The sequence below is a fragment of the Homo sapiens genome, chromosome 11 (assembly GCF_000001405.40).
Source record: "Homo sapiens chromosome 11, GRCh38.p14 Primary Assembly".
Lineage (NCBI taxonomy): Eukaryota > Metazoa > Chordata > Mammalia > Primates > Hominidae > Homo > Homo sapiens.
The window spans coordinates 62,711,042-62,727,955 of record NC_000011.10 but is presented as its reverse complement, the minus strand read 5'-3'; the positions used below and the strand labels follow the sequence as shown (position 1 = coordinate 62,727,955).

At 46.5% G+C, this 16,914-nt stretch overlaps 1 protein-coding gene and 1 long non-coding RNA gene across 2 annotated transcripts in view, besides 4 other annotated features; both read left to right on the top strand.

The window, feature by feature from the left end:
- Positions 39-88: an enhancer, noted in NCBI's record as "active region_4841". NCBI's record gives its function as "activates an Ori minimal core promoter by ATAC-STARR-seq in GM12878 lymphoblastoid cells {active_cell/tissue: GM12878}" and the evidence as "EXISTENCE:reporter gene assay evidence [ECO:0000049][PMID:35858748]".
- Positions 349-508: a silencer, noted in NCBI's record as "silent region_3428". NCBI's record gives its function as "represses an Ori minimal core promoter by ATAC-STARR-seq in GM12878 lymphoblastoid cells {active_cell/tissue: GM12878}" and the evidence as "EXISTENCE:reporter gene assay evidence [ECO:0000049][PMID:35858748]".
- Positions 499-15,326, top strand: HNRNPUL2 (heterogeneous nuclear ribonucleoprotein U like 2). The gene is made up of 14 exons (NM_001079559.3): positions 499-1,337; positions 3,530-3,665; positions 3,966-4,042; positions 4,230-4,369; positions 5,053-5,143; positions 5,243-5,355; positions 5,576-5,839; positions 6,014-6,136; positions 6,533-6,661; positions 7,765-7,933; positions 10,767-10,967; positions 12,019-12,092; positions 12,349-12,456; positions 12,577-15,326. Exons 1-14 carry the CDS (start codon positions 800-802, stop codon positions 12,655-12,657), a joined length of 2,244 nt encoding a protein of 747 aa, NP_001073027.1. The 5' UTR covers positions 499-799; the 3' UTR covers positions 12,658-15,326.
- Positions 572-16,914, top strand: part of HNRNPUL2-BSCL2 (HNRNPUL2-BSCL2 readthrough (NMD candidate)) — a 37,123-nt gene continuing 20,780 nt past the window's right edge. The window contains exons 1-13 of the long non-coding RNA NR_037946.1: positions 572-1,337; positions 3,530-3,665; positions 3,966-4,042; positions 4,230-4,369; positions 5,053-5,143; positions 5,243-5,355; positions 5,576-5,839; positions 6,014-6,136; positions 6,533-6,661; positions 7,765-7,933; positions 10,767-10,967; positions 12,019-12,092; positions 12,349-12,456. This is a non-coding gene — a long non-coding RNA (HNRNPUL2-BSCL2 readthrough (NMD candidate)). The remainder of the gene's footprint in view (positions 1,338-3,529; positions 3,666-3,965; positions 4,043-4,229; positions 4,370-5,052; positions 5,144-5,242; positions 5,356-5,575; positions 5,840-6,013; positions 6,137-6,532; positions 6,662-7,764; positions 7,934-10,766; positions 10,968-12,018; positions 12,093-12,348; positions 12,457-16,914) is intronic.
- Positions 679-1,058: a silencer, noted in NCBI's record as "silent region_3427". NCBI's record gives its function as "represses an Ori minimal core promoter by ATAC-STARR-seq in GM12878 lymphoblastoid cells {active_cell/tissue: GM12878}" and the evidence as "EXISTENCE:reporter gene assay evidence [ECO:0000049][PMID:35858748]".
- Positions 12,032-12,533: an enhancer, noted in NCBI's record as "H3K4me1 hESC enhancer chr11:62482895-62483396 (GRCh37/hg19 assembly coordinates)". NCBI's record gives its function as "activates a minimal SCP1, AML or CMV promoter by ChIP-STARR-seq in primed H9 embryonic stem cells {active_cell/tissue: H9 hESC(primed)}" and the evidence as "EXISTENCE:reporter gene assay evidence [ECO:0000049][PMID:30033119]".

Below are 16,914 nucleotides of genomic sequence, written 5' to 3'. Positions count from 1 at the left end.
GTTGTCCAATAAGAGAAAAAGGGCGGGTTCAAGGGCCTCTGTTGCTGGGTAGAAGTTGAGGCGTTGAGGAAAAAGGAGGGCCCGGATTACAGTATTTCTTCGTTCTGGGGAGCCCTTTTGCTTCCTAGCCAGAAAAACAATTGCTACTAGGCTTACATGTTGCAACACATTCTCTAATGACTTTTTTTTTGTCGTTACTGCTGCAAGCACAGACAGTAGGGAAAAGAGGCTAGCGACCCCTAAAACGCCACAGCAAATGGAAGTCAGACGGAAGTAAGGGTGGTGGGAGGGGCATGGCATCGGGGAGCTCCGGGCGGCTGCGCAGAACTCCCCGGCTGGAAGTACTGAAAGACCGGCGCGCACACGCTTCCGTGCTACGAGGCACTTGAGCTGCAGCCAGCCTTGCCCGTCTTGGACTCCACTGCGGCTGCGCGATAAAAGCACCGGCGGCGATTGGCCCGGGGGCGCCAGAGGGCGGGAGGAAGCGGGAGGAACTCCGTCGTCCTCCGCGCGCGCCTGCCCGCGGCTGGGGAACCAAGGGCCTGGAGGGGAAACAGCTCCCTGCTGCGTTGTTTTGGGCTCCGTGAGCCGAAAGGGGGAGGGGAGACGAAGGAGAAGCAAACACTGCGCAGCGGGACCGTGCGCGGCCTCCGCTCCTGCGTGCGTGCGCTCGCTCGCGCGGGCTCAGTGCTGGCGCGTGAGGCGGAGGCGGGCGGCGGCGGCGGCGCCTGCGCGGTCGGACTCGGTCGACGGTTCGCAGGGGAGGAGGCGGCGGGAGGCGGAGGAGGCGGCGGCGGCGATGGAGGTGAAGCGGCTGAAAGTGACCGAGCTGCGGTCGGAGCTGCAGCGGCGGGGCCTGGACTCGCGCGGCCTCAAGGTGGATCTGGCGCAGCGGCTGCAGGAGGCGCTGGACGCCGAGATGCTCGAGGACGAGGCCGGCGGCGGCGGGGCCGGGCCCGGCGGGGCCTGCAAGGCGGAGCCTCGGCCTGTGGCCGCGTCGGGCGGCGGCCCGGGCGGGGACGAGGAGGAGGACGAAGAGGAGGAGGAGGAGGACGAGGAGGCGCTGCTTGAGGACGAGGACGAGGAGCCACCCCCTGCTCAAGCCTTGGGTCAGGCCGCGCAGCCGCCGCCGGAGCCCCCGGAGGCGGCAGCCATGGAGGCCGCGGCCGAGCCAGATGCTTCCGAGAAGCCGGCGGAGGCCACGGCCGGGTCAGGCGGGGTAAATGGTGGCGAAGAGCAGGGCCTCGGCAAGAGGGAGGAAGACGAACCCGAGGAGCGGAGCGGGGACGAGACGCCGGGATCCGAGGTGCCGGGTGACAAGGCCGCCGAGGAACAGGGTGAGGAGCTGGCAGCCGAGCCCGGCTCCAACCTGCCGGCTGCGCCCCTGATCTAGCACCCCGCCCTGCACCGCAGGGTCCGAGTCCTTGTTCTCGCTTGCCTCAAAGTGCCATTTGATGGAACTCCTTTCATTCTCTACCCACCTTTCTGAGGGGTTAGGCCGCCTCTCGTGGCCCTACTCTTTGCAGGAGGAAGGTTCCTGCCTAACTTGGTTCCTTGGTGATAGTGGATGGCAGTGAGTGATTTTGCATGCGAACTACTTGTGAGCTACCTGTGGAACAGTCTCCCACGGTGCTTGTTATATTTTTCTTAGCTGAGAAAGTGCTAAGCAATTGGGGATTACACGGAGAACTAGGCCCACAGTTAGAGGGTCAGGTCTTTGGGCTACCTGACCTAACTTTTTCGCCGTAAAAATGTTAAGCAAAAATCGAAGTCCGTCAAAGTCCGTTCCATTAAAAGCATGTTACCAGAGCTTGAGCCACAGAGAATCTGAAAATCCAACCTTGCTCCTCTTTGAGCTGTAAGGGAGAGCCTCTAGTGTAACAGTGTCGAGTTTAATAGTTAACCAGTGAAGAGAAAAATCTTAATCTAGTTCATTTAGAGTTAGTTAACGTTACTTGGCTAGGGTTTTTATCTTGCTTGGATTATGATTAAATTTTAATTGTCCCACTGAGTCCGTGGATAGGCATATTTGTAGATTTGCTGAACACCTGGTGCTAGTCTTTTACGTTTCAGGTCCCTCGGTTCCTGAATGGTAATGACTGAGGTGCTGTTGGGTCCGTTGAGTAACCTTGTGGAAGAGGTGTGTTGTAGAATCGCCCCAGGGAGTTAGTGACCTTTCTCCTTTCTTTTGAAGTGATTGGATGGTTAGAACTGATCCATAACAGTGTGTGTCCGAGTAGGGAGGATAAGTCTTACTATAAAGTGGGTGGCCTCAGTTCTTTTGTTAGTAATATTTTTAGGCCACTATGGAGAGTCATGGTATAATCGGAACCCATTGTACAACAATCACATGCAACTTGCAGATTGTTTGTCCTGTGTCCCGGAGCAAAAATCCCATTACATAACCTTTGACTTATGTATATCCCAAAGAGCAGATAAAAAAATAATTGAAGGATAGGCTGGGGGTGGTGGCTCACGCCTGTAATCCTGGCACTTTGGGAGGCCAGGCGGGTGGATCACCTGAGGTCAGGAGTTTGAGACCAGCCTGGTCAACATGGTGAAACCCCTGTCTCTAGTAAAAATACAAAATATTAGCCGGGCGTGATGGCGGGTGCCGGTAATCCCAGCTTCTTGGGAGGCTGAGGCGGGAGAATGGCTTGAACCCGGGAGGCGGAGGTTGCGGTGAGCTGAGATCGCGCCACTACACTCCAGCCTGGGCGACAGAACGAGACTCTGTCTCAAAAAAATATATATTGAAGGATAAAAGACTGCTTTAAAGAAATTATTATTAAAAACCTTCCTAGTGTTGCAAAATACAGAAGCCTAGGGAAAAACTCCAAGTTTTTTCCTCTTGCAGAGAAGTTGCTAAATATACAACAACACCTTTCTGCCCCAAATGTGCAGTCTAGATGCGGTATTATTTATGGATCTCTTGTGACTTAGTGGTTTGCTCTTGCAACTTTCAGTAGAAGTCCCTGATAAAAATACAGCTGTGTATAATGCACTTGAGTCCATTTGCCACATGAATAAAGCCATGGATGGCTGTGTATTTCAGTGCAGGAAAGGGAAATAAAAGAAATTGAGGCTTCTCTGTATCATGAAGGTGTGGAAAAGTGTTACAAAATATGTACTAACTGCCTACCTTAAATCTAGATCTGACAAGAGTCAAAATTAAATTAACCTTTGAGGTTTTCTTAGAGACCTAGAGGATATTTTTTATGTCATATTGATGGGGAAATCTGCAAGTTTGACCTGATTTAAGTGGATAAATTTAGAATGCAAAAATTGTCCAATTTTTATCTAGTGCTTGACTGTAATTAGCCCATAATGCCCCTTTTTAAAAAAATTAAATCACAGCCAATGACAGAAAGCTGATCTTTAGAAATAAAATGTTATGTGAATGTAGTGGGAATAACCTGGCTGTTTTGATCAGACAGATTCTCAGATTCCCTGTTAGTGTCTATTAGTTGTGAGCTTATTCTACACTCCAGTATGAAAACTGCTGATTTTCTTTCCCTCGTTTTTGTAGGAGATGACCAGGATAGTGAAAAGTCAAAACCAGCAGGCTCAGATGGTGAGCGGCGGGGGGTAAAGAGACAGCGGGATGAGAAGGATGAACATGGCCGAGCTTACTATGAATTCCGAGAGGAGGCTTACCACAGCCGGTGAGGGAAACAGTCCCTTTCGTTGAAGGGAGTGTCTGCTCTGATTTTGGTATACCTGGTATTGACTGGAGAGACTGGAAGGAGGGTGGATTCAAAATGGAATAGGTTTTTATAGGCATGAGTTTTAGATTGCATCTACCATGGAAACTCCTATTGCCCTTTCTCATTTATTGGAAAAAGCTGTCTGCTGGGATTTGATATTCACTGACAGTTTAAAATGGACATAATGTCATACACACACACCCCTCAAAGAAGAGGGCTTTGTTTACATTGTGTTTCTTTTCTATCTTACATATATAGCTCAAAGTCTCCACTGCCTCCTGAAGAAGAGGCAAAAGATGAGGAGGAGGATCAAACTCTTGTGAACCTGGACACGTGTATGTATAAGGCAGACAGACTGTGGTTTTTAACTAATCTCCTAAAAGTGATTTTGGAGATTAAAACTTCATAGCCTATAAATTCTATGAGACTTTGTATCCACTACAACAACTGGTATACTTATGCTCTGTTGGCGGCTTACAAGTATTGGACATTGGAGTAAACTGATTGCTTCTTTCTTTACAGATACCTCGGATCTGCATTTTCAAGTGAGCAAAGACCGCTATGGAGGGCAGCCACTTTTCTCAGAGAAGTTCCCCACCCTTTGGTCTGGGGCAAGGAGTACTTACGGAGTGACAAAGGGAAAAGTCTGCTTTGAGGCAAAGGTAGCTCATTAAGACCATTCATTCATTCATTCATTTATTACTGGATGCTTACGGTTCTTAGAGGGGGAAAAGAAGATTATTATCTCTTTTTTTTTGAGATGGAGTTTCGCTCTTGTTACCCAGGCTGGAGTCCAGTGGCACCATCTCGGCTCACCACAGCCTCTGCCTCCTGGGTTGAAGCGATTCTCCTGCCTCAGCCTCCCGAGGAGCTGGGATTACAGGCATGCGCCACCACACCTGGCTAATTTTGTATTCTTAGTAGAGATGGGGTTTCTCCATGTTGGTCGGGCTGGTCTTGAACTCCCGACCTCAGGTGATCCGCCCGTCTTGGCCTCCCAAAGTGCTGGGATTACAGGCATGAGCTACCGCACCTGGCTGGGGAAGAAATATTTTTTTAAAAAGACCGTTCATTTATTCATTAAGCTACTACCTATGTATACTGGACTTCTGTCCAATCAGGCTTTTATTAGTGCAGGTAGGTAAAAGCACTGTGCTTTAACAAGAACCTTAGTTTCAGTAACCAAGAAATTGATCCCTGTGGCTTTAAGTTCAGTGATTGTTATTCTGATGTTGAGTTGAGGTAAATGTCGTTTTCAGTTTGTATAAAAATCTTGTCCTTCGAACTCAGAGTTTGCTACTCAGTTGGTCACAATATCTAATAGTTCCCTTTCTGACTTGGCCAGGTAACCCAGAATCTCCCAATGAAAGAAGGCTGCACAGAGGTCTCTCTCCTTCGAGTTGGGTGGTCTGTTGATTTTTCCCGTCCACAGCTTGGTAAAGTTATTTCTTTAAGTTCCTCATTAGTGTTTACTACCATATTGCTTACTCTATGGGAAGTCCGGTTGTAGGTAACTAATTTGTTGACTGTTCTAGGTGAAGATGAATTCTCTTACGGTTTCGATGGACGAGGACTCAAGGCAGAAAATGGACAATTTGAGGAATTTGGCCAGACTTTTGGGGAGAATGATGTTATTGGCTGCTTTGCTGTAAGTGCTCCTGAAAGTTGTGGGTTATAACAAGGAGCGGATAGAGGGCACTGGGAATTCACTTGTGCTTCCCATCAACTGCTGGCTTTTATGCATGTGATGTGTGTGGCTCGCTTAGTTACTTTGTGCAGCAGTCTGTGTGAAAAAAGAATAAATTGTAAAGTTTAATCAACCCAAAGCCTCGTCAGCCAATAAGTGCTCTTGTCCCTTGTCATTGTAGAATTTTGAGACTGAAGAAGTAGAACTTTCCTTCTCCAAGAATGGAGAAGACCTAGGTGTGGCATTCTGGATCAGCAAGGATTCCCTGGCAGACCGGGCCCTTCTACCCCATGTCCTCTGCAAAAATTGTGTTGTAGAATTAAACTTCGGTCAGAAGGAGGAGCCCTTCTTCCCACCACCAGAAGAGTTTGTGTTCATTCATGCTGTGCCTGTTGAGGAGCGTGTACGCACTGCAGTCCCTCCCAAGACCATAGAGGAATGTGAGGTATGCCAAACAGTATACGAACACTGAGGTTGTATGCTTTGCAGAGGTGGGTGCGTATGCTCTCCAGGGTCTCAGAGCGTTACCAAACAGGAATGGGAGGATGTTCTTAAATTGGTTTTGATAAACATGACCCTCATTTATTTTTCATTATATTTCTGGTTCTGTTTTTTGCAGGTGATTCTGATGGTGGGACTACCCGGATCTGGAAAGACCCAGTGGGCACTGAAATATGCAAAAGAAAACCCTGAGAAAAGATACAATGTCCTGGGAGCTGAGACTGTGCTCAATCAAATGAGGGTAAGTTGCTGTTGGGGATTTGTCGGATACAGTATTTGGAGACTCTTATAACCTATCTTTAATGGAGAATTAGTCTCAAGTGTCTGAGAACAAGGGTCCCAGAAATAGAGAAATGAGATTTTTCTCTATGCGTTTTAGGTGGATTGATTTTTTTTTTCTTTGCTGTGTTGTCAAATTTCTGAAAGCAGATGAGATCTGAAATACATCCAGGTTAAGACTAGATAGAAATGACTACTGCAGGAAATGGACAACATTCACAGCACTGAAGAATGGGAATAGAGTGATATCATAGATTCAGTATTTGAAGAGGTGACATTTACCAATAACTCTTGGGCTTTAACTTGCAATATAACTTGTGTTTTGTTTTTTTTTTTCACTTCCTCTCAAACTAATCAGATGAAGGGTCTCGAGGAGCCAGAGATGGACCCCAAAAGCCGAGACCTTTTAGTTCAGCAAGCCTCCCAGTGCCTTAGTAAGCTGGTCCAGATTGCTTCCCGGACAAAGAGGAACTTTATTCTTGATCAGGTATTAATCTGATAAAATTGCCTAGAGTCAAGGTGGGATGTGTATATAAAGAGAGACTGAATTAAGGAGCAGAGTCAGCTTACCTAATTATGACCATCTGGTTGTGTGTTATGGTTGCAATGTTTTTTGAACTCAGAGGTACCCCTAATTAGTGTTTTTACTTGAAAATATATGGACCCAGGCTATAAAACATGTAATAAAGACAATGGAAAGAGTTGGAACTCATTTGAATTCCTGGCTCCACCACATTCTGGTTTGTGATCTTGGATAAGTCCCTTATCCTTTCTGAACCTCAGTTTCCCTGATGAGCAAAACAGGATAATACCTGTCATGTAGTTTGAAAAGTTAAAGAAGATCATGTGTATTGACCCTTTATCTCGTGTCTAAGTTGTCAAAGATACTGAGTCTTTTTTTTTTTTTTTTTTTTTTTTGAGACCGAGTCTCGCTCTGTCGCCCAGGCTGGAGTGCAGTGGCGCTATCTCGGCTCACTGCAAGCTCAGCCTCGTAGGTTCATGCTATTTTCCTGCCTCAGCCTCCCGAGTAGCTGGGACTACAGGTGCCCGCCACCATGCCTGGCTAATTTTTTGTATTTTTAGTAGAGACAGGGTTTCATCGTGTTAGCCAGGATGCTCTTGATCTCCTGACCTCATGATCTACCTGCCTCAGCCTCCCAAAGTGCTGGGATAACAGGATTATAGGCGTGAGCTGTCACGCCCGGCCTTTTTTTTTTTTTTTTTTTTTTTTTTTTGAGATGGAATCTTGCTCAGCCGCCACCCAGGCTGGAGTACAGTGGCGTGATCTCAGCCCACTGCAACCACCATCTCCTGGGTTCAAGCGATTCTTCCGTCTCAGCCTCCCAAATAGCTGGGATTACAGCACCCACCATCATGCCGAGTTAATTTTTGTATTTTAGTATAGATGAGGTTTCACCATGTTGGCCAGGCTGGTCTTGAACTCCTGACCTGAGATGATCTGCCCACCTCGGCCTCCCAAAGTGCTAGGATTACAGGCGTGAGCCACCGTGCCCAGCTGATACTGATTCTTTTGGTTAAATCTGAGTGATAATTTTCTTCCTAAACATCAGTTATTCCTCCTGTTCTTAGTGTAATGTGTACAATTCTGGCCAACGGCGGAAGCTATTGCTGTTCAAGACCTTCTCTCGGAAAGTGGTGGTGGTTGTCCCTAATGAGGAAGATTGGAAGAAGAGGCTGGAGTTGAGGAAGGAAGTAGAGGGAGATGATGTGCCTGAATCTATAATGCTGGAGATGAAAGGTGGGTGTCTTAGTCCATTTTCTGCTGCTATAACAGAATACCATAGACTTCATAATTTGTAAGTAATAGAGGTTTATTTCCCTCATTCTGGAGGCTAGGAAGTCCAAGAGCATAGCATTAGCATCTGGTGAGGTCCTTCTTGCTGCATCATTCCATGTCAGGAGGGCAAAAGGCAAGAGGGCACATGTGAGAGAACTTGCTTTTATAACAAAGCCACTTTCACAATAATGGCATTAATCTATTCATGAGGATGGAATCCTCATGACCAAATCACATTAAAAGTCCCACCCTCTCAATACTGCTCATTGGGGATTAAGTATTCAACACTTGTACTTTGGTGGGACATAACTCAAACCATAGCAGTGGGCTAAAATTGTACAAGTTAAAGAGATCTTATCCCTGGTCAGTGCACACCTTATTGAGGTCTCTTAGCAACTGGAGTGACACTCTACATCTAAAATGTAAATCTGAAGAGGAACTTAATGGTCGTGAGCACTTGTAGATAAATGAATGAACAGAGAGAAGCAATAATTTTGACTCATTGTTTTCTTGGTTTGTTTTGGTTTGGTTTTGAGACAGAGTCTCACCCTGTTGCCCAGCCTGGAGTGCAGTGGTGTGATCTCAGCTCACTGCAACGTCCACCTCCTGGGTTCAAGTGATCCTCTTGCTTCAGCCTCCCAAGTAGCTGAGATTACAAGCATGTGCCACCATGCCTAGCTAATTTTTGTATTTTTAGTAGAGATGGGGTTTCGCCATATTGCCCAGGCTGGTCTTGGAACTCCTGACTTCAGGTGATTTGCCCGCCTTGGTCTCCTAAAGTGCTTAGATTATAGGCATACGCCGCTGTGCCTAGCCGCCTTGGCTCGTTTTGAAAAAGATACAGAAAGGGAAATAGTGAGCCAGGCGCGGTGGCTGACGCCTGTAATCCCAGCACTTTGGGAGGTTGAGGTGGGTGGATTACAAGGTCAGGAGCTCACAACCAGCCTGGCCAAGATGGTGAAACCCTGTCTCTACTAAAAATACAAAAAAAATTAGTCGGGCATGGTGGTGGGCGCTTGTAATCACAGCTACTCGGGAGGCTGAGGCAGAGAATTGCTTGAACCTAGGTGGCAGAGTTTGCGGTGAGCTGGGATTGTGCCACTGCACTCCAGCCTGGACAACAGAGTGAGAAGACTCGGTCTCAAAAAAAAAAAAGTGACCGTAGGGTAATTTAAACTCAAAGGATCAAGGGAGAGGCTTCTGTGAATCAGTTATTTGTTAAGTAAATATTTCTGGTACATCTACTGTTTGTCTACATTTCTTATTCTGCTTTTTTTTTTTTTTTTTTTAAAGACAGAGTCTTGCCCTTGTCGCCCAGGTTGGAGTACAGTGGCGCGATCTCGGCTCACTGCAACCTCCGCCTCCCGGGTTCAAGCGATTCTCCTGCCTCAGCCTCTTGAGTAGCTGGGATTACAGGTGCCCGCCCAGCTAATTTTTGTACTTTTAGTAGAGACAGGGTTTCGCCATGTTGGTCAGGCTGGTCTCGAACTCCTGACCTCAGGTGATCTGCCCGCCTCGGCCTCCCAAAGTGCTGGGATTACAGGTGTGTGCCACTGCGCCTGGCCGCAGGGAGAGATTATTATGGTTCAGATTAAAATATGGCAGTTGGAGTGAATGATCTCATTGGTATAACTTGATTTCTGGTATCACGTTATGTTTGTGTTTTGTTTGTTAATTTGGCTGAAGTCTGTAATGCAATACATAAGACAGAGAGTAATGTCTACATAAGAAATATTAATATTTTGATTGATCCTCCTATTCCCTTAAAACGTGATTTTTTTTCCCATTGCTGCCTTTAGTTCCTGACATCCCACCGAGTCTAGCAACTGCTTGCTCTTCAAATACTGATAATCCCCAGGCATGGGAACTGGTTTGCATATCTATGAGCCAGATCCTCAGAGTTTACTGAGAATGAACTATGCCAGTCCATAACTCTTACTTAGGCACTCAGAGAAATGTAGCTCAGTTTTATAAAATTGAGGGCCAACTGGATTCATCTAAGAATCATGAGAGCCCCATTGAACTGAATTTCCACTGGGACTCAGCTTCTGAAGTTGACGTCCAGAGACTGGCAGATGTGCTGGCCTATCACGGACAGGTGGTAAATGAGAGCCCTTGTACTCTTGTCTTCTCTTCTCCTTGTATAGATGAGCAGATGCCTTTAGGCTTGGGTCAGTTTCTCATTGAGTCTCTCTTCTGTCAGCGAGGCCAGAGTGCAGTGGCACTCAGCCTCCCGAGTAGCTGGGATAACAGGCACCTGCCACCATGCCTGGCTAATTGTTGTATTTTTAGTAGAGACAGGGTTTCACCATGTTGGCCAGGCTGGTCTCGAACTCCTGACCTCAAGCAGTCCGCCTGCCTTGGCCTCCCAAAATGCTGGGATTACAGGCGTGAGCCACCATGCCCGGCCATCTCTGAGTCTCTTTTTAAAATGTTATTTCTTAGCATCTTATCTGACCAACACCAGAACTTTCTCAGTTACTTTTAGCCTCTGGTTACCTGCTTCTGTCCTGATGAGAAACTTTAACCCAGTTCACTCCTAATTTATTATAGATCACTTAAGAACTTGTAAATCTACATAGCCCTTTGCCTGGGTCTGTTACAATTTAGGGAAAACTTAGAGTAGAAAAAGTTAATGTCATTATTTAGATGCGAGTGGGTATAAACGTAGCACATTTTTGTGCAGTAATAGATGAGGCATAGAAAGTCATATGCTTCTTGTAGAGTTTTCATAATGAGTTCTTACCCATCTATGCACTTTTCAGGCCCACAAGCTTCTCTCTTACTCTTATAGCCAACTTCTCTTTGCCTGAAAAATGCGACTATATGGATGAGGTGACATATGGGGAGCTGGAGAAGGAGGAAGCTCAGCCCATTGTCACTAAGTACAAGGAGGAGGCAAGGAAGCTTCTGCCCCCCTCCGAGAAGCGGACAAATCGCCGAAACAACCGAAACAAGCGTAACCGGCAGAACCGAAGCCGGGGCCAAGGCTATGGTGAGTCTTGGGGACCTGCCAGCCCCCTACTTCAGTCCATTCTTTGTGCTTAGTACAGCAAGATGTGCAAGGGAAGGCCAAGGAAACCAAGTCAGGTCATTAACAATACGGAAGTGCCTTCTTCATGGAGCTTATTTCTTCCTGTGTTCTTTATCCCTGCCTTTTTCTTGTGCTTTTTCCATAATTCTTCAACAACAACAAAAATCCTCTTTTTTAAAAAAGAGTTACTTTTCACAAAAGTATTTGTTTCTTTGAAAAGCAATGCTTGGGCTTTCTCATCTATCTAGTTTTCATTTTAACATATGGGTTCCCAGTGTCACTGTTCCTGTCTTATCTGAAGGATTTGTGCAGTGAAATCAAATTCTCATCTTCAGTTTTCTTGCTTCTGTGTCATTTCGATTAACAAGAAAGCGAATGCTTTATTCAGTGTTTTTTGTGGGGGGAAGAACTTAACCAAGCAAGTTAGGCTATTAGTAGAATTAATTTTCCCCCTGAATGTCTAGTTTGTCAGTTAAAACCCCAGTGTGCATTCACTGCTCTTTAAAAATGTGTGTGTATGTGTGTGTGTAACTGTTAAGTCAGCAGAATTTCCGAGTGCCTGCTATGTGCTAGGTACTGTAAATGCTGACAGTTCCCGCCCTTGAGGAGCTGATTACAGAGACTTTGTTTCTTTTGCATAAAATGATAGGTATGGGTTATACGATATCTGAAATCCCTTCCAGGGCTGAAAGTCTGATTCTATGAATGGCAGTTTTTCCTTATGTTTCTAACTCTGCCATGTATCCTTTTGCCATCTTAAATGTTTTGCAGGAATTGGGGAGCTTCAAAAACAAAGTGGCTTGGTTTTCTTGTGTCTCTGTTCCTCTGCCCTCCCCCCTCAGACTTTTTAAAAGTTCCTGGCTGGTGCTTTAATTAACATGTGTGAGCCTGGCCGAAGCAGGCCTCATATTCCCCCAGAATTGCCTTTGGCTCCAAGTTTTTGATTTCCACCCAGATGTGGAGCCAGGACCCCATGCCAGCTGTCTGAGCGCGCTCTCCATTTCTCTTCCAGTGGGCGGGCAGCGCCGAGGCTACGACAACCGGGCCTACGGGCAGCAGTACTGGGGGCAGCCTGGAAACAGAGGGGTGAGTGCAGCTCTCCTTCTGCTCCTCACTCTGGGCTGTGAGAGCCATTCTGTTGGCTTGGGGGAGCAGAGTGGTTTGCCTGTTTTCTTAGGGCTTAGGGTTTTGCCCATTTAATATGTTCTGGAAGATTTACTATGGGAAAATTAAACCAATTTATAATATCGAGCTAAGATGTGTCGCATTTAAAAGGGGGTCACGGTGGGTCATGCTGCCAAAAACCCATAAACCTTCACTCCTTTTTCTTTTCCTTTCTCAGGGTTACCGTAATTTCTATGATCGATACAGGGGAGACTATGATCGATTTTACGGGCGAGATTATGAGTACAACAGATACAGAGACTATTACAGACAATACAATCGGGATGTGAGTATCTTCTTGGGATAGACACAGGGTGAAGGGGGGCAGGAGCAGAAGGATGAGTGTTATGCCTCTTCATCCTCAGCCAGCTCTGGCTCCAAGTGATGGGGTTTCCCTCTCTTCTAGTGGCAGAGTTACTACTACCACCACCCCCAGGACAGAGACCGATACTACAGGAATTACTACGGGTACCAAGGGTATCGGTGAAGCCCCTGCCATGGTCACCTGTCAGCCATGAAGCTGAATCTCTGGGGGTGCCAGGCACCCCCGCAAAACACAACCAAGGAAAACAGGGGCTGTCGGGGTGGGGCTGAGCTGCCGGGGAGGGGTGGTGGGGGGGGAGGGTGCTCAAGCAGGGGTGGGGGAGGGGGGAGGTGGAAACAAACAACAAAACTGTACATTTTTTTTAAAGTTTGTTGAAAAGAATATTGTCTTATTCTATAAAACATTTCAAACCTAGTTAGAGATTTGTAATCAAAAAACATTTGCGCAGAAAGCAGCACTTAGGGCTGCCTGTTCTATACCCTACAGTCAGACAGGAAAAGAACTGAAAATGGCACCCTTCTGACATTCTGAGGCAGCTGGACTGGCAGCCAAGTAAAGGAGAGTGATGAGGTGGTGTGGGGAGGGTGGGGAGGCAGCGCGAGGGTGCTCTCCACAGCAGGTAGGAGCAGGCAGGAGTGGGGACAGAGGGAGAGCTTGTGACTGGGACAGTGAAAATAAACGATTGGCTCTTATCAATCACTTGCACCAACTAACCGTTTGTATTTTCTTTACCGACCTTTCCCTTTTGGGATATGTGGTCTGGTGGGCTGGGAGGCTTACAGTGTCCCAACTCTCCATTTTCCTGTGCCTTTGTGCTGTTTGGCTGAGGCATGGAGACTGCCAGTGGGTGGTTCTATTTTACAGGATTCCCAGGCCAAGAAAGCCTGGGGACTGTCCTTGATGGCAGAGCAGAATAGCCTGCCCCTTCTATAGACCCATTGATTAATTCCTGTAAAATCTTGGGGAGAATGGGATTGCAGCCCTCAGCCTAAAGATTGTGATTTGCCAGTCTCTAGTCTCTGTCTTCCAAGGTTGAGAGAGGTGGGAGGTCTCTGAAATCATCCCTGTTAGAGTGTCTGTCCTCTTACAGTGCGAGAGAAGGAACGTTTCTCAGGGTTTCAGCTCACACGAAAACACAGCAGGATTCTTTTCACTGCAGCGGGATATGTATATAGGTGAATCCTGTGGTGTGGGCTCACAGGCCCAGGTGCTGAGAATAGCAACTAGCAACTATTTTCTACAGTGTGGAGGGCTCGTGCCCTGCTGGTTTTTTTGATACACAGGTAGAGAATGAATAGAAGAGGGGAGGGTGGTGGGGGGGGGTGGGAGGCAGCTCAGTGGGGCTGCTGAACCTTGGGAAGAGTGTGAGTGTGAACGTGTGTAAATGTGCGTGTGAAAGGGAGCACCCCTTCCCGACTTCTAGAAACAAAATTCCTTTTGGGGCGCTTTCCCTGTGTGTCCCCAGAGAGGCCTCTAGCCAGGAGCCTTCAGTTGGGATAGTTTCATTTGTGACTTTACCAATACCCTCCCAGTTCTTGATAGACAGCTGTAGGTTGCTGGGTTCAAGAATATGGGTGGGATATGGAATGCTCTTTCAATGTCTAGCTTCAGTTTTCATTCATCCTCCTGCTCAGCACTGTCAGCCAAGAGCTTACTCAGCAGACACCACATACTGCAGCAGTTCCTAGTGAGAAAATCTGTGCCACTAGAAAATGCTTCACTTCCATTTCCTCACCTGGGCAGTTCTCTGTTTAAAATTGTGGGCTGATTTGGTCTTCCTCTCCTCCTCCCACTGTTACTGCCCTGCAGCCCTTGTTCAGGTGTACAGACCCTTATTCTGGCCTCTAGTGTCCTTGTCTGTCATGACACACCCTTCCGCCCAAATACCTCTGACCCCAAGGCTGGAATGGGGCTGGTAGGAGATAAGTTTGCTTACTCATAGTCATGTCCTTTCTCTTGGCACCTGCTTCCCTGCGGTGTCCTCAAATGGATTTCTGTGTGGCAGTGGAGTGATTGCATGAATTTTTCTGTAACACATTAACTTTGTATTATTATTAAGGGAGTTTGAGAAAGCTTTGCTTATAATGTCAAGGCAAGGAGGTAAAAACTGGAGCCCAAAGAAATTCCCTTAGGGCAAGATTATGTTATAATAGAAAATTGAATTTCCTGAGGCAGTGGCTGCCACCCCTTTTCAGATGTTTAGTCCTGCAAATAGCATCTTTCTTGTAGTCTGTGACATGGATGGGGATGCTAGGGCCCTTAGGGGCAAGGGGACTAAACTAAATCAAGTTGAGTTTTTTTCCAGCAGGGGTTAGGGGAGGTACTCGCTGTTGATATTTGACACTAGAAAGTAATCTTTTTTACAAAACTGTTTTTCTAGGTGGGTGGAAAGTGAAACTGCCACATCCTTGTTGGTTTAGTCCAAGAGATCATTTGCAACAACAGTAGATGTCCGGGTTTTGTTTCTGTCTTTTTATTATGAAAAACTATGTTAAGGGGGAAAATGTGGATTATGGTAACCAGAGGAATCCCTAGCCTTGTTTTCCTTAGAAGACTTGTTTAGTGTTTTATCAGACGTCTGTTGTAGTTGTAGACAGGAAAGCTTGTGAGAAAAACACCACATGGAGCCTGTAAATGTTTTTGCACAACCTGTAAAGCATTCTTGGAAGTGGCCAGTAAAAAGGGGTTTTACCATTTAAAAAAAAAATGTAACTGTGTCATTGTTTACATCTGTAACTTTTTCCTCCCCTGTTCTCATTACACCATTCTGGCGAAAATGTAGGCAAAGTAGCTTCCAGTTTTAGAATAAATAACCATTTGGATTGAATTCACCCTATCTCCTGTGGCTGCACTGACTGGGGCGGAGGGTGTCACTGGGTTATTTATTCATTTTTTAATGCCTCTTTCTCAGGTCGCATGGGCTCCAACCAAGGAGGACTCTCCTCTTGCATGGTGGCTGCCGTTCCCTCCCTATTCTACCATGCCTTCACTTGGGAGCCAGCCATGCAGTCAGTTGACATGGGTGGGTAGTTATTAGTCTATTTAGTGCTTGCTTAGGCCAAGAGTCGAGCCATTGAAGTATAGGAAAATAAATTATAACTCACGACCTCTGTATTTGGCCTATGCAAAAACTAGTTGGATGCTTGAAGTTAAATGTACATTGTGGAGCCAAATAAGTATATTCATGAATAATTACTGCTAGGGGGAAAGCCCACTCATTCAACAGAAGTTTGATGGGGGTTATTTTCCAGTGAATCTGGAGAACGAGACGGTAAATTAAATTTACAACAGCGCCATTGCTTTTTTATTTTTTATTTTTATTTTTATTTTTTTTTTTTGACAGAGCCTCGCTCTGTTACCCAGGCTGGAGTGCAGTGGCACGCTCTCGGCTCACTGCAACTTCCGCCTCCTGGGTTCGAGCGATTTTTCTGCTTCAGCCTCCCGAGTAGCTGGGACTACACATGTGTGCCACCAGGCCCAGCTAATTTTTTTTTTTTTTTTTTCCTAGTAGAGACAGGGTTTCACCATATTGGCCAGGCTGGTCTTGAACTCCTGACCTCGTGATCTGCCTGCCTCAGCCTCCCAAAGTGCTGGGATTACAGGTGTGAGCCTCCGCTCCCAGCCACCATTGCATTATTAGCACTGAAATGATCCTAACGGCAGTTTCTAATAAATGGTCAGGGTCTTAAAGCTGAGATACCACAGGCTCATGACATCCAGTGTTCTGAAGGAGTAGTAGTATTGATGTAGATACTGCTCTAATTCCTACCCTCTGTATGTGACACGGATTCAGATACCCGGGTTTACAGTTTTGTACCCTGAAGGCCACCCTTAATTTTGGTAGCCATCTATTCTTTAGGACATTTAAGTTGCTGTTAGAGCTAATTAATCATTTTTTAAAGTGGTTAATCATAGCTCATGCCTGGTCTCTAGTTACTGCTTAAACCCCATTTTCCCACCTAGCGCTGTAGCCACGCAGTTATAATCTGATGGGTAGGAACATTGAGTGTGCAGAAAAATTGAAGAGAGGCGCTTTGTTTTGTTTCGTTTTGTTTTGAGACGGAGTTTCGCTCTTGTTGCCCAGGCTGGAGTGCAGTGGCACAATCTCGGCTCACCGCAACCTCTGCCTCCCGGGTTCAAGTGATTCTCCTACCTCAGCCTCCCAAGTAGCTGGGATTACAGGTACCCGCCACCACACCGGCTAATTTTTGTATTTTTAGTAGAGACAGTTTTCACCGGGTTGGCCAGGCTGGTCTCGAACTCCTGACCTCAGATGATCCGCCCGCCTCGGCCTCCCAAAGTGCTGGGATTACAGGCATGAGCCACCACGCCCGGCCGGCCAAAAAGAGGCTTTCTTAAAAATCAAGGTTACATTTATTAAACACTCTAATTTTTTTTTTTTTTATTTAACCATGTCTG